Source organism: Homo sapiens, chromosome 13 (genome assembly GCF_000001405.40).
Source record: "Homo sapiens chromosome 13, GRCh38.p14 Primary Assembly".
Classification (NCBI taxonomy): Eukaryota; Metazoa; Chordata; class Mammalia; order Primates; family Hominidae; genus Homo; species Homo sapiens.
Window position 1 is genome coordinate 110,190,473 of NC_000013.11, and position 16,344 is coordinate 110,206,816.

A 16,344-nucleotide genomic window follows, 5' to 3' on the forward strand; every position below is an offset into this window, starting at 1 on the left:
GCTCGGGGAGTCGGCCTTTTGTGATTCATTATTCTTTCCCCAAAATCAAATACTTGTCTTTCAAAAGGAAATGTCACAGAAATGCTATCTAAGTCAAATGAAAAATCAGAGCATTTCACATTTTAATCTACTCTCCTGTGTGCTCGTTTATGGATATCTCTTTTAGCCTCTAGCCAAATTCAAAATAAGAGAACCACATTTCTGAGCGAGTTAAATCACGGAGCTTCAAATACAGCTTCCAATAAAAGGAAAATTACTAACTTCTCAATTGAATTATTTACCCATAAATTTATTTTTAGAGACTTTTTCCAACTCCGGAAAGAAAGGAGCTCCTGATGAAGGCATAAGGAGTAGAATTGGGGTTGTATGTTTTCTTTCTTTTCTTCTATATTATGATCTTTCCTCAATATTCCTTCTTTCTCACCTCTTTCCTCTTTTTCCGTCTTTTATTAGATATGTCTAGACTGAGTTTCAGCCAGAGTTGAGGCAGGAAGTCCACCAGGAAAGCCCAGGAGATGAAGCGGTGCATAGAGGTTAAAAACGTCCTTTTCTGCTTCCTTCAAAGTTCTTCTGTCTTTGATCCCCACTACAGTCAGGGCTACCCAGTTATTTGAACTTCTAATTTATTTAGATATATCTTAAACAATTGCAACTTCTAACTCAGCTCCCCAGGCACCAGGGAAGTTCTGGAGAGCAAAAGCCCAAGATCTAACTTCAAAAGCAGAAAATGATTGCTGAATTCCAGCTGGGTCATTGCTATTTCAACTCGCTTTTGCCCTGGTTTTCTTTTGTAGAAGCTTCCAGCAATATCTTTAAAAATTAAAAAATTTGAAGGGCTACATCAGAAATGAATAATTCTGAAATTTGACTTTCAATATCTTACAAAAAGAAAAAAAGGAATGAAAGGAATTGTGGAAACCAGTCCATGCTCGCAAAGCTCAGAAGAACAAAGAAAATACGAGAGGAACAATGCCTTGAGATTTCAAAACTTCAGAAACAGAAGTCATTATATGCAAGAAAATAATGTCCTTCAAAATTCAAGATTATTATTATGCTCTTCTATTTAGTGGATTCTTTTAAAACAAACTACAAAAGCTAAGAAGCTGGTATTTTGTTCCATTGAAAGGTTTCATGTCAATGTGATCCGGATATTTCATTTATGGATTTGAAAAAGCAACTGCACAATAGATGTTGTAACAGAAATTTTCAACTGTAAGAAGAAGAATAAAAACATATTTCTAATCCTCAGAGGCAAACAGATCTGCTTTCCTTGATCTTTTCATAGAAACTATTGATGCTGAACCTACTGACTAACCAGCTTTTAGATGATCTGATATGATGTTACCAGCACTGGTAACACAGAAAGACGGCACTTCGGCTCTGCACTGTGGCTGTGTGGGGGTGGCTCCTGTGACACCATTTGTTTCCAGAAATCCCAGAGACCCTGAGGGAAGGACACACTCCCATTCAGCCACACCTGAACACAGGTCGGCAGCAGCCGAAAAAATGTTGACCAGGTGAGAAGAAAGGCAGCTGTGATTTGGGCTCTGTGGGTAACAGTCTTGCTCATTCTCCTGAGACAAGGGCCGCATGGAGTCACTCCAGAGGGCTCGACACAGCAACACTTACCAGCTCCCACACAAGGCAGAAGCCATGCTTGCAAATGCAAAACGACACAACTCTGTCCACGTGCTTGGTGGCAACTTCTGATATGTACATGAACTCAGACAGGTTTACTTACTGGCACTCCTGCAACACCATCTCTGCCAGGCAAACCTCTGTCGCCCTTGGCCCCTGGCTGCCCTGGGAAACCTTTCGTGAGAGAGAGGGAAAAAGACAGCAACACAGCATTCATGAGACACTTCTCAAAACCTTTTCTTAAGACTCAAAAGCATAAAAATCTGTATAGGAAGTGGATGATTGCTTGGATAATCCAAAGAGAGTAATAACTAAAATGCCCAAGACGGACTCAGAAAGGGAATAGGTGACCCGACGCACATGTACACCCGGAAGCAGGAATGCTTCCAGCACCCCACACCTGCCCCCCTGCCCACACACCCAGGGACCACTTAAAGGAAAAACATGAATTCCATTAACTGCTTGTGAGATAACAGAATCTGTGGCATGGAGGGAACTGTTATGCTGCTGTCTTTTATTAGGAAATCTTTATGAGGCCATCTTGATCATTCCCAGCAATGTGGACAAATCCTGGAAGTGGGGCCCAACATTCTTCTGATTATGCTTTAGGATTGGCTGCCGAAAATCAGGCCTTCTATGGAGTGAAATCCCTTTCACAGGAAAGATGCCAACACACCAAAGCAAACTCTGACCTGGTCCTTTTCACATGTGGGTCTTACCTATTTCTCCCGGGGGTCCCTGTGGCCCGGGAGGCCCCCGATATCCGTCTATATCACAGATGAGGCAACTCTCTCCTTTTTGACCTAAAAAAGAAAACACAAAGGTGCTTACGTGTAACATGTGACCAGAAGTCTCCGCAGTGCACTGAGAGAACAGAAAAAGGCAAGGCTGTCACTAACATATTACATCCAAACTTAGGTTTGCTCAGTGGCAATGGCTCCTCCAGACAGCTCTCTGCTAATGGGTGGAAACTGCAGTCAAACGCACGTCCCTGTCTGTCAATGAACGGGCCCACTGCCCCCAGCACGCGTCACGTGTGACCACAGACGCACTGCTTAAAGATCCAAGTTCTTCTCCCAGCGAAAAGACAGGGCTGCCTCAGTAAAAAGTGGTCCAGAAATTCAACTGTGCCTATCAGCCTGAAAAGACTTGACTTTTGTAATTTGTCTGTAATGTGAAAACTACCCATCCCCTTTCTCTTTGGTTGAGTGCTTAGTCCAGTTCATGGACTTCACTGGTTGGTGGACTTGGGAATAAGAAGCCACAAAAGCAAGAACACATATGTGATCCAGGACAGAAGAGGAGAGAGACTGCAGCCCTGAAAAAGGAGAGGAGATGCTCTTCTTTGGAAATTCTAACATCTGAAGTCTTGATTTTCAAGCCAAGCTCAGAGACCTTACATTGTCTTAGCTATTCCTGTGTCTTAAATATTGAAATGTCTGGTTTCTAGGCACAAATCAGGCATAATACAGAGCAAAAAGTGCTCGCAGAGAAGCCCATGCCAGGGACATCGAGGCGGCGTGGCCATGTTCTTCCCATCCCTGCCCTGGCTGGCAGCCGCACACGGGCACTGCTATTGCCCACTCTGCCCTGGGATGCCCCTCAGTCAGAAGTAAAACAGGGCCAGTGCAGGTAGGCCATGCCCCCGAAGTGTGGGAGCAGGCACATGGTTTCATTTCGAGCTCTTTCAGGAGGCAGAGCAGGAGCCCATCAGTGGAAGGGGCACGGTACAACACAGCTGAGAACCCAGCTAAGTTCTGGGCACTGGGGCATTCGTGGGTGTGTCTGTTCGCAAGGCTTCAGGTGGGTGGGGAGACAAGGTGCATTCCCAGCAGACGATGGAGTCGAAAGAGGAATGGGAAGACTCGAGAAGACAGATGCTTCTCCTAGGATCTGGGGGATGGATAGCTAAGATTGCAGTGTGAAGAACCTCTGGACGCTGGATCTGTCATAAAATGGAAGAGCCCATCTCACAAAGTACTGAGCGCCTGGTAACTAGAGCAGACAGACTCATTAAAACCCAAACTGTACACTGACTCAGATCAGTGGCACCCCTGTGATGACGCCCAAGATCGCTTCCATTTCAGGTCCTGCAGTGTATGTGGCTGTCAGAATTCTAAGATGCTGGCTGAAACTTTTCCATGCATCATTTCTGTCTTACACATTTGAAGACTAAAACATGTTTACAGTTCACAGGCAGAAATGGTACACAGTGGGGTTGATTTGAGGGACAGCCTCCTATTTGTCCTACTCTCGGGTTACTAACAGGCATATAAATATCAGAATATCCATTGCTTATTCCCCTCTAAGGCAGGACTGTTGATGCAGTGATAATCCACCTCTGTGTCTAGGATGGCGGAAGAGATAAATAAGTGTCCTGTGCGGGTAGTAAGGCAAACACTTGGAAAGATTAAAGATGGAACCGAGAGCCCAGAGTGAAGCTGGTTAATGCATCAACGGTAGATTTGCTCACACTGATGATGCAAACACCACTGGAAGAATTGGTGAGCATTCCATGTGCAGATTTTTGACTTGGCTTGAAGGAGGGAAGAGCATTCTTTGGTAACAGAAGTCTCTTCTCAAACACTGAATGGAAAGATTGCGGTAACAAATCAGTCTGAGTTTTATCTGCTGACCACGCCCACTGTAGCAAGACTGACTTCACGGTCCTCGGAAAGGGAGAAGGGGCAAAACTCTGACTTTCAGGGCTGTCTCCACCTTTCCCACCCAGATCATCAACTAAGTTCCGGAAGATGCTTATTCTAGGAAGAGATTGTGAAGAGGGTTCCAAATAAAAGGAACCTACGCCCTAACTCTGCCCACCCCCACTTGGCTCCAAAGCCGGTAAGTATGTGGGAAAAAATCATACGCAAAGACACAACCACCATTTTAAAAAAATCAAAATTTCTTACCTTTCTCTCCAATTTCGCCTATAAATCCTGGCTGCCCTGGAATTCCAGGAGGACCCTGGTCACCTGGAGGTCCGGGCTGACATTCCACAATTCCATCTGAAATTGAGTTGTCAGAGTTATAGGATCATAGCTAGGTGTTTTTACCCTCTCCTAACTCAACCTCTATTATAAAACCAAAATATTTTAGGCTATTTGACAAGTGTTAGAAATTCAGCTTTAGTTTGTTTCAAAATCATCTTAGGCTATCCACCACTTGCAAAACATAATCACCACACACCACCCACCACCCACTCACCATCCCAAGCCATCACTGCCAACATTTCTATTTCACAAATTCTGAAGTATCTGTAGGTGCATCAGCCCTGTCCTGTATACTATTTCATTTCATCTTGCGAAGTGCCTACCATCACCCTTATTTTACAAATGAAGAAACTGAGGCTCAAGAAAGGTAAGTGATTTGTCCAGGGTCATGCATCTAGTCAAAGCTGAGACTAGAAAAATTTTCTTCCTTTTTTCCCCCTCTAACCCAATTTACAGCAAAACTAATCATTATTTTAGAGCTGCAGACTGCCCACGAGGAAATGCCTCAAATTGTTCACATTCAATTCTGAGCATCATTTATGTAAAGAGGCATAAAAATAAACTGCAGTAATGTACACACCATCTGTCCTAGGTTCTAGTAAAAAATATCAGTATTGTTTATTGTTTTATGATTTGGATACACACTGAGATGGAGTTTATATTTCCTTCCCCAAGATCCTTGAAGAAAAAAGACACAGTGAACAACTTGGTATCCAGCATCCCTGCCCAGGCATAACCCTAACACTCATGCACCAGCACTGAAGGCCCTCCCCTCTCCCTTACAGGGTCTTCACCTAATGACAAAGTCATGGGCAGTCTCTGTTCAGCTGTCACCTGGACGCCCTGAGTCCCAGACTATAGAAGGGCCCCAGGGTGTGGAGTGGGGCTGTGGGGCCCTCCCTCGGGCTTGAATATATTAACCAAGGTCAACTCTCCAGCTCGCCCACCCCAGCTAGAACCAGAATGCCTAAAAAGATCCCACACCTTGTTTGATGACTTGGTTTAGAGCTCAGCAGAACAAGTTAGCTTCCGCTGTGTAGGAACTATGGGGGAGGTGCTTTTGCTTTGCTTGTTGCTTATGTGCTTATGTGTCTTTCCCTGAGTTTCTCCCCACAAAGCACAGGAGGCAAGAAAGCCCAAGTGGGGTCACCATGGGTCCCCCACAGCCACTGCTAGGGACCTGCTCCTGGTGACTCTGGTCCTGCCTGGCTCCTCGTTAGCCCTTCGACATTGGTGCAGCTGGCACCATCGTCTTAAACAAAGTGGACTCCATGTTTATGCTTCAAAGAGCAGCCCCTAAATTACTTCACTGAAAGAACCCACATCTCTCATCCCTGTGAGCCTAGGGTATACTAATTCCTTGACTCTAGAAATGTATGCTCAAGAATATTGAGAGACATGTAACTGTTATACTCCTTTTCCAGAGCATAACTCCTGCCTGCTTCAGCTCAACCAGAATCCCTTCAAATCCCTGACAAAAAAACAAAAAACAAAAAACAAACAAACAAAAAAAAAATAGTACATCCTCACCAAAGTCCATTTAAATTCATTTTATGCAGTGATTATTTCTGAGGAGTTCTAAAGTGCAAATCTAGAGTTTACATTTTACAACGCCTTCTCATCAAGGGTATCTGCAGCCACAGATGGTTTAGAGCTGGCTGTACCCACTTGAGACAAGAATGCAGTGGCAGAACTTACATGCACAAATGGCTGCATTGTGTGGTTAATGCTCTATCGATAAGTCCTGAGGTAGCAATGGCTTTAAGATGTAGCCTCTTTAACATACATTATAAATCTTAGTACAAATCTCATTTCTAAATTATTACTCGATACTCTGTGATTGAGAATTACTTAATTTACGTGGACTAAAAAGGCCACCTAGAAAACCTGGAATAGTAAATATTACAATGTGCTCAGCTAACACATCCCATTCAATTAACAAGAGTGTAAAGTTCATATTTTTACATGACGTGTGTTTATATTTCATCACTTGCAAAATTACGAACATCCAAAAGAATGTCCTTTTCCCAGATTTCCCCACCATTGGCTCCCTCACCCCCTTCATGTCTTTGTAAATCACTCTGCTTAAAACCACAATCCCCTGCCCACCCCCCACCCCAGAACCCTCTGTTGACTCTCCTGCTTAAGTTTATCCCTGGACTTATCATCTCCTGCATTCATGAGAATTCCCTTGTCTTGGGTAACCCCTGTCAGCCCCATGGAATACTTGCTCCAGGACAGCAGGATCTGTTGAGTCTTGTCACCACTGCTAGATCTCTGCCTCCCAGGCACTCCCTTCCCCGCTGAATGAATCTGGAACCCAAAGGCCCCTTGGTCAGAGCTCACAACCTTCTCTCAGACACACAGAGAAAAGGAGCCTCTGGATTGAGTGTCTCCAGGACTGCAATATTTTATCTTCATTTCCCATGTTTCACACAATCACAAGAGCAGAGGAGAAAAGTTCCCCAAAGTCACACATGATCTGTTCTTTCTCCTACCCAAATTCATGTAGATCACATTCCCCATCGAAGCTGCCAGGCTGGAATCCATGGCTCCATCTAGTCCTGGCCCAGCCCCCAACAGTGGCCTCATCCATGAGAACTCCCTTTCGTAAAGATTTGCTTGAATTCTAGCAAATAAATCTTGCTGGGACTTGAAGCCTGTGAATCCTTTCTCAATCAACCCCACAGAGGATTCGTGTTTCAGGGGCCCCACAGAGCACACGTTGGTTTTGATCCAGCAGGTTCCAAAGGCTGGCTCCAGGTATCTGAACACACTCCCATTGCACAGGTTGGCTTAAATCCTTGGAGATTTTCTTCGAATTTGCTTTGGTATTGTATTGGGACCACACGGCCATCTTAATTGAGTCAAGACTTCCATGTTACATGTTCACCTTTTCTGGAATAAAAGCTGGCTTTTCTGGACTTTACTAATGTAATCTTTACCCATGTAATCCTGTCTTCCTTGTTTCTGGGGTGTGTGTGTGTGTGTGTGTGTGTGTGTGTGTGTGTGTGTCCTAGTATTCATTTGTATCTCTAGATGAAGAAGAATGCATTCTGTTTTCAATAAAAATTACATAACTCAACAGTTTTGCTTTTTAACTTTAGATGCCAGGAGTCTCAGAGGTGGTTAACGTGTTATTTACTCCGTTAAACCAGCTTTATTTTGAAATTTTAACTATTGCTTTTTGTAGCATGGTTCATTCTCTGAAGATTCCCTTAGAGGAATATGGATGATTAGAAGAATCCACGCCTTTCTATTACACTCTGGCTGTGGGGGACTATCACAGCCCCCAACCTGGGTCTGCCCGGCACCCTGGTGTCTGCTTGCACCCCACATTAAACCATTTCTGAGGGAACTCACTTGTGTAGCCAGGCTGCCCAGGGGGCCCAGGGGAACCAGGAGGACCCGGGAGCCCATCTCTTCCACTTGGTCCTGGCAGAGATGTACCAGGAAATCCTCGGTCACCTTTTTCTCCTCTTTCACCAGGGAAGCCAGGGGCACCAGCCTGCCCAGGTACAGGGAGGCCTGCAACCAGACAGAAGCTCACATCAGTAACCTCAGGGCCACTTAGCAACTACAGCATAAACTCATTCTCCTAACTCTGTTCAAGGTAAAAATCCAACCAGACCATCACTGAAAAGGGAACTGCTTTAGACATGTAAAACCAAATTAAGCTGGCAGGTGTCTTGCCATTTCATGCTGACAGTCAAATGTTTCCTACAAATTAACTTCAAAGAACAGGGACTCATTACGTAGATATTAAAATCTGTGAATTTCTCTCAGTGCAAATAGTATTCCCAACATATTTTAAAAAGGCTGTAGAGGGTGCACTGCATTTCTACTTGGCCAATGAGGGCATAGAAATGTCATTCAACAAAGCTAAAGTGGACCTGGAGCAAAGGGATGGTCAGTGGGTTGGCAATCTAGAAGAAAGAGCAGAAAATCACAACTAAGGACACACAAGATGGTTCTGTAAAAGGGTTTGAAGTCAGAGTAGCCATTAGGTGTGAACATATCAGGTCAGGTTCAGCCACTGTAACTCTGTAAGGGTAAGACCATGTGCCCCTGGGAGAGCTGAGGCCGGACGCAGGGCTTGAGAGAGTGGTGGTGCAGGAGGCTGCATGGAGAAAGCTCTGCTGCTTCTGTGAGGGACGCACCAGCTTCTGCTCCCAGCATCAGGCTATGATGAGGAGAGTGTGAGAAAAAGGACAGTCGAGGGAAACAGGACGCAGGAAGACTTGGCAGGAATGAAGAGCAGCATGGAGAGGAGAGGGAAGAGCGCTGACCAAAGGGGCACAGAGCCTGAGACATCCAGCCTGTCACTGGGGAGAAAAGCCACAAGCACAACGTGCTCCAAGGCAGCCAAGAGCCCCGAGGGGCGGCCCCTGTGGGCTTCCACAAAATACTGTGTGCCCTTCCTGAGTGGTGAATGAGGGGCAGCATGTCTAATGGAGAGGAAAATGAAGGAACTACCCGGGCACGAGGCCAACCAGACCCTCAGGGTGAGGAGGACGGTCAGGGAGCTGGGGGCGGGCAGAGGCAATGGTCAAGGCCACAGGCGAGCCCAGGGCAGGACTGGACAGAGAGCAGCGCAGCGACTTTGGGAGGGGGACGTGGGTAACTCCTCCAGCCAGAGCAACTTCAATGGCTTTTTATCAAGCGTCTGGGTTAAGAGACCACTAAGGGTTAGATAAAAGGCTGTAGACAGTAAACAAGGCTTCTGTGAGGAGACATGAAGTCACACATTTCCGAGAATCCAAGAATTAAGAAGAGACAAAAGGGATGCTTTTAAGGGTAGAGTCAGAGTTTTTACAGAAAAGAGAGAAAGTGGGAGTGGACGAAGGCCCTGCCCTGAGCCAGGCGTGGGCTGTGTGGGGTGTCGTCTGTTCCCAATAAAGGAAAAAAGGGGGCTCTGCAAGAACTTAGACCAGCTGGAAAGGAAACAAATATAAAATAATAAACGGGGATAAAAACAAAAATAAATGTAAACATCAAAAACAAAGCAAAAAGCGTAAAGGCTGCGAACACTCCGTTGTGTGCCAATGCTAGGGCACGTGAGCGTTTCCATCAGACGCTTATCGGGTCAGCTCTGGGACCTGGGAGAATACCACAGGTGCACACGCACACACGTGGACACACGTGCATCTGCGCATATGGACAGAGACAACAGCGAGCCTCTGCAAAGCGCAGTCTGCCAGGAAACACAGGTTGGCACGTCTGGAGTGACTGGAGAATGACTTCACCCTGAGGAGCCCCGGGGTCCAGGGAGGCAAGGCTGGGGCTGGGCACAGCAGCTGGAAGGGGTTTTGTCCTGGAGTCTGATCTCCAGCTGGGAAACATCCCAGAGAGAGGGGAAAGTGGTCAGGACGCTGAGGAGGAAGGCGCCTGACTGTGCTAGAATCGGGGCTCTGTGGAAAGACAGGACCTGCTCAGTGGGAGCCGTGGGAAAAGAGGGGGGCAGGCTGGCTCTGGTGGGGTTACATCAGAGCTGGGCAGAATAGATCTGGATCCCCAGGAGAGACATAAGGGTGTACATGTTCATTAACATGCTAAGTGGTCACTTACAAAAGACAAGATACTTATCTACAAGCACTTGTCTACTCTGCTTTCATCACTAGAAAAGATGTCGTAAGATTGCTACCGATTGTGTGCAAATATCTAACATTCGTGATAAATTATATATTCAGAATATAAACAGCACAGAAGGTGTGCAAGTATGCTATAACAAATCAGTTAAGGAGTCTCACCTGGAGGTCCGGGTTGGCCTGGTAGTCCTGGGAAACCTGAAAAGAGAAAGAGAGTGTTGGATCAAACAGAACAGTTCACCCGTTTGTATACACTTCTTATTTCTCTACTGAAAGCCTTGCTTGGTGCATTGGTAAGTGTCCATGGCCAAAGGGAACGTAGAAAACAGAGCGGGAGACCACCCGAGCCCCCACTCTGGAAATGCATTGCTCTCAAAGCTACAGCGAAGGGCTCCTGAAGCCTGTTGTGACAGTGAAATAGGAACTTGGAGGAGACCTGGTCACAGACAGTCCTGCAAGGCCTGCAGATGCTTCCAAAATATGGAGGAACACAGGTCAAAACTAGACAAAAAGAGGGGAAGAAATAGAAAGCGTGGGGAGAGAGAGAGAAGGAGGAGGAGGAGGAAGAGGAGAAAGAGGAGGAGGGGGAGGAGGAAGAGAAGGAGGGGGCGGAGGAAGAGAAGGAGGGGGAGGAGGAAGGAGGAGGAGGAACAGGAGGAGGAGGAGGAAGAGGACGAGGAGGAGGAAGAGGAGGAGGAGAGAAGGAGGGGGAGTAGGAGGAGGGGGGAAAAAGGCAAGAAAGCTACCTTTTGGGCCTGGCTCTCCTCTTGGCCCCGGAGTTCCAGGGTAGCCCCTCTCTCCTTTTTCTCCCAAAGGTCCTGTGCCTATAACCTGAATCGAGAAGGAAAAGGTGATCATCCCGTGGCATGGGAATGGCTAGTCCTGTATAGTAAAGCAGTATGAGTGAAGAAATGTACATATTTGTTTTTATTTCAAGAAATATGAAAGTGAAGTAGCAGCAATGGTAGCGGACAAGGAGGAAGGGGATAAGCCTCTAAAACATATGGGACAGGCCGGTGCGGTGGCTCACGCCTGTAATCCCAGCACTTTGGGAGGCTGAGGCAGGTGGATCACAAGGTCAGGAGTTCGAGACCAGCCTGGTCAATATGGTGAAACCCCGACTCTACTAAAAATACAAAAATTAGTCGGGCGTGGTGGCATATGCCTGTAATCCCAGCTACTTGGGAGGCTGAGACGGGAGAATCGCTCGAACCCAGGAGGTGGAGGTTGCATTGAGCTGAGATGGCACCACTGCACTCCGGCCTGGGTGACGGAGTGAGACTCTGTCTCAAACAAAGAAACAAACAGCAACAACAACGAAAGCATATGGAATAAACATGCTGCAACCATCCCTGCAAAGGATCCTGCCAGGCAGGCGGTTCTGCTTCCTTTTGTAATAGTTTGCCTGGCAGCAGCTTTTGTAACACTCCAGTGAGGTAAAGATGGAGTAACATCAATTTGAGGCTTAGATTTATAATTTCTAATTGTACATACTAGCCATAAACAGAATGTTTTACTTTACAACGTATTATGAGAGGAACACTCTTAAAAAAAAAAAAAAAAAAAGTAGGCGCTTCCTTAAGGTCGCAAGACAAGAAGAGGCACTTTCGGCTCCTTAACAAGGAGAAAATTCACTGGCCCTGATTCTAAATTAATGGAATTCAAGACAAGCGGCAAAGTCAACTTTTGCATATTACCTTTGAACTATAATTCCTTTGTATCAATTAATAGATATTATTAAAATGTGCCAATGTTAAATAGCTTGACTTAGTCATCCCACAAGTTATATATATAAAACATCATGATGTATACCATAAATATATACAATTTTTGTCAGTTAAAAAATGAAAGTAAAACCCTTCAATGTAAATCTATAAATAAAATGGGCTGTGTGAACGCATTACCTGTGGCACTGCAAGGAAGGCAGCAAAGGAGAGAACGGTAACATTTTCATTATTTCAAAAAAGTCTGGGGGCAAAATGGCTAAAAAAATTAAAGCACAACTCTCTGATAGGACACTGAAAATGATCACCATGAAGATATGTGCAAACATGATAATGCCCATTTTTAAATGTCACACACATCACTGACAAGTATGCAAAATATGTATGTTGACCAGTAGTAAAATGTTATTTGCAAAAATAAAAATTGTTTTACCAGGATAGTTAAATTACAGATGACCTGTTTCTCTTACAAAAATTTTCCTCAATGGACCACGTTTTTTTAAAAAAGGTGTCAAGGCCAGGCACAGTGGCTCATGCCTGTAATCCCAGAACTTTGGGAGGCCAAGGTGGGTGGGTCACCTGAGATCAGGAGTTCGAGACCAGCTTGGCCAACATAGTCAGGCCCTGTCTCTACTAAAAATACAAAAATTAGCTGGGCATGGTGGCGGGCACCTGCGATCACAGCTACACGGGGGGCTGAGATGGGAGAATCACTTGAACCCAGGAGGCAGAGGTTGCAGTGAGCCAAGATCGCACCACTGCACTCCAGCCTGGGCAACAGAGCAAGACTCCATTTCAAAAAAAAAAAGGAGTCAAATATGTTGCTAATATTCTCATTCATGTGCAAACCTTTTCATTTTCAGTGATTTAAAGATGTGCAGAAATTATCAAAATATAATAAAAATAATAAACACGAAACTCCGTACAACAAATTAGAAAATCATTTCAAGTAGCATGAACCACTTTACATAACAAATGCAATTCTAGAGACAGCTGTGGGTGTGTGCCCTGCATCTCCTCTCCTTCCTCTCCCAGCGCTCTCACAGACCCAGGGTCCTCTCCTTCCTCCCCCCAGTGCTCTCACAGACCCAGGGTCCTCTCCTTCCTCCCCCAGCGCTCTCACAGACCCAGGGACAGCACTCTTACTCACAATTCCAGGTGGGCCAGGAGGACCTGCTTCACCCTTTTCTCCCTACAAAAGAAAAAATAACTTTCCTTGCATATTCTTACTATAAAGATTGTCTTGCAGAAAGCAGATTAAACATTTCTTCTGGTAAAATAGAGTGTGCCTACAGTAAATTAAAACTATTTTTCTCTCTTTAATATCTCTCATTCTGTGACGATTACAACAAAAATGAATAGATTTCATTTTGCTTTGCACACGCATGACACATGAAAATAAAGATCTCTGCAAAATATAAGTTGGGGGCTAATTATTCTCCTTACAAAAGCCCAGATACTTGTCCCATCAACTGCACACTTCCTCGGAAAACAGAATCATTGATGAGCGGAACTGGCAACCAGGGTTTTTCAATTTTAAAAAGAGAAATGAAATAAAATAATATAAAAGCATGATTTCCAAATACATTTTCTTAAATAAATCATTTTATATGATGTTTTTAGGTGAAGATTTTCTCAAATTTGCATTGGAGGTCATAATGTAAAATCTAATATTAACTGAAAACATTAGTGGATAAATTCTGATCACTTTAAGGTTTAATCTCATCCATAGTAGATGAAAAACTCAAAGAAATTAACCCTTTCATATCAAATATTTTTATATAAACGTCATCGTAATGATTTAAACAGTCCAAAGATATGTACATTTTACCATGAATGTATATATTTTCCTTTTAAATTAAGGCAGTAAACAAGAATTGAATGTTTTGATTTTTCTTATATGAATACCAGAAGATTTTAGAAATATCTAGAGGACATAAATATCTTAGCCACTATATTCTAAATATATCTACCATTTAAAATGTACAGGATTTTACTTCCTCAAAAAATTACAGCCAAGGGTTTCTTCCTTTTGTCCCTGGCTTTAATAAATTAACCGTAGGCTACTGAGGCCCTCCCCGCAGCTTTCCATTCGCCTTTGGTGATGACTATTCCAAAATTATCTCTTATATTAGTAAAGACTTACATTACCTAGTCTCATATTAAGAGAGAAAAATAAAGCAATAATGAGGTTTTTTTTTTCTGCCTGTCAGATTGACAAATATTTTTTAGATTTTTTTTTTTTTTTAGTTAGTTCCCCAACTAAAAGGGCCCTGGTCTGGCAGAAGGACTTTCTGGGGCAATTTGGTTGCATGTGGCAAAAATTTCAAAACAAGTGTCTGACTGTGGACCCCAATATTACGCTTTTAGGAATTTGACAGAGAAATGACCAGACAAGTGAGCAAAAATACTTGTAAGCATACAAATTTGGAAATGGCCTAAATACCACGCAACAAAAGGCATGGATGTTCACATCATAATTACACTGACGGCCATTGAAATAGATCCTCCTTCTATCATTACGTGAAAAAGCAAGATGTCTTGTTCACTATCACCTTTAAAAACTGCCTGCTTGTGTATGCACATAGGAACAAGGCGAACTCTGGCCACTTCTGAACAGGTAACAGAAAAAATTAGGTAAGCTTTCTTTACCTCGTGATATCTTTCTGTATTTTCTATTGCTTTATGATCAGGAAAAAAATAATCTACTACCAAAAAAAGATATAAAAATTTGAATGAATGGCACATTTCATATATTTTTATTTTGTAAAAAATCATGAACATAAAGGAAACCACTAAATTGTGTTTTTACCCAGAAGAAGCATAAATGATTTTTTTCCCTTGAGTACAGAGTCCTTTATTCTAGGAAAGAATAAACAGACTTCTGGGTTGAATTGGAAAGTGAAGATAAAGGCTCACAATAGTGCCAGCGTTTACCTGCGGGCCCTGGCGGCCTATGAGTCCTGGGTACCCGGGTTCACCAGGAAAACCCTGAAACCGAAGAGAGAAGCAGTAACCGTCAGAGGCCAGTGGTAGGAACAGTGAGCCTGCTTGTAAAAACCACAGAGAAACACTTACGGGACTCCCTTTTTCCCCTTTGTCACCATCTTTTCCGGGTTTGCCCTGTAGAATAAAGATGTAAACGTTAGTATTTAATAAATAATAGACTGCGCGCGGTGGCTCATGCCTGTAATCCCAGCACTTTGGGAGGCCGAGGTGGGTGGATCACCTGAGGTCAGGAGTTCGAGACCAGCCTGGCCAACATGGCGAAATCCCGTCTCCACTAAAAATACAAAAATTAGCTGGGTGTGGTGGCAGGTACCTGTAGTCCCACCTACTTGGGAGGCTGAGGCAGGAGAATCACTTGAACCCAGGAGGCGGAGGTTGCAGTGAGCCGAGATCACACCATTGCACTCCAGCCTGGGCAACAGAGTGAGACTCTGTCTCAAATATATATATATGTATATATATATAATAACGGATATAACACCAAAGCTCTGATTCAGATAGCTTAATATGTTGTCTCTCCTATGAAACACAAGCAAGGTAAATGAGGGTTCTATGTAAGTTGACAATACCACAATAATAAGTAATATTGTATATGATGAATAATTATGAAACAGTTACAATATAAGAGAACTCCATTTTTAAAGAGCAGAGTCCGATGAGCTACAAGTCTTCTAAAATATGATTGTATCTTGGTAGCAAAGCTAACATTAGAGAAGTTTGCCTATTGGCAGCTGAGTATTTGCAAGCTTATGCAAATGCTTCATTTAATGCAGGTTTCTGCATGCTCCTTCCAGGTAGAAACCAGAACCATCCCAGCTGACTGGCAGTGGGGTGGGTCTCACGCCACCACCATCCCTAAAGTGAAAAGCAACTCAGCCTCTCAGGCTTGTGGCTGTGCAAACACTGTCTGGTGTTCTGGGTGGCAAAGTCCAACCAACCTGCTGCTCTCAGAGCAGGACCGAAGGTTTCAGGGATGGCCCAGGGCTCTTCAGAAGCCTCTCTGAACAGCCGGCGGTGGCACCTTCAGTGCTGGATCCTTAAACAGGGAAGGACCTCGCCTGCCTGGGAAGCCTTGCAACTGATATAGCTCAGGAGAGTCTCGGAAAAGCCCTTCGGGGCATGAAAGGGATAAACTAGAAGTCCCTACGAGCCTTTTCTGTTCTTGTGTTTCTGTGAATCTGCGATTTTCCGCATGGAAGGAGAATTGTTTTATGATAAAAGGACTTTGGAAAGCACTTACTCTGGGTCCTGGTTTTCCGGGTTCACCTTTCTCTCCGACCCCTGGCATCCCCTTAAAGGAATAAAAAGACAAAGAGATTTATTCGTCTATTTAAGCAAAATTTAAATTAGATAGATATTAAACTTAAGGTGAAAAAAACTTGAAACTTAAAT

At 44.1% G+C, this 16,344-nt stretch overlaps 1 protein-coding gene across 2 annotated transcripts in view, besides 1 other annotated feature; it reads right to left on the minus strand.

The window, feature by feature from the left end:
- COL4A1 (collagen type IV alpha 1 chain) overlaps positions 1 to 16,344 on the minus strand; it is a 158,195-nt gene that overhangs the window by 41,510 nt on the left and 100,341 nt on the right. The window contains exons 15-25 of one of the 2 annotated variants that reach the window (NM_001303110.2): positions 16,193 to 16,243; positions 15,022 to 15,066; positions 14,881 to 14,934; positions 13,094 to 13,135; positions 10,966 to 11,050; positions 10,382 to 10,417; positions 7,995 to 8,159; positions 4,551 to 4,646; positions 2,358 to 2,441; positions 1,742 to 1,812; positions 269 to 1,177 (exon numbers count right to left, since the gene is read on the minus strand). In NM_001303110.2, coding sequence (NP_001290039.1) covers positions 1,154 to 1,177; positions 1,742 to 1,812; positions 2,358 to 2,441; positions 4,551 to 4,646; positions 7,995 to 8,159; positions 10,382 to 10,417; positions 10,966 to 11,050; positions 13,094 to 13,135; positions 14,881 to 14,934; positions 15,022 to 15,066; positions 16,193 to 16,243 — 753 coding nt within the window. In that variant the 3' untranslated portion in view covers positions 269 to 1,153. Of the gene's footprint in view, positions 1 to 268; positions 1,178 to 1,741; positions 1,813 to 2,357; positions 2,442 to 4,550; positions 4,647 to 7,994; positions 8,160 to 10,381; positions 10,418 to 10,965; positions 11,051 to 13,093; positions 13,136 to 14,880; positions 14,935 to 15,021; positions 15,067 to 16,192; positions 16,244 to 16,344 lie in introns of those variants that run through there. The other variant, NM_001845.6, reaches the window with a different exon arrangement.
- Positions 3,928 to 5,127: an enhancer, noted in NCBI's record as "BRD4-independent group 4 enhancer chr13:110846747-110847946 (GRCh37/hg19 assembly coordinates)". NCBI's record gives its function as "activates an origin of replication core promoter dependent on BRD2, P300/CBP, MED14 and CDK7 cofactors, and independent of BRD4, by STARR-seq in HCT116 cells {active_cell/tissue: HCT116}" and the evidence as "EXISTENCE:reporter gene assay evidence [ECO:0000049][PMID:35650434]".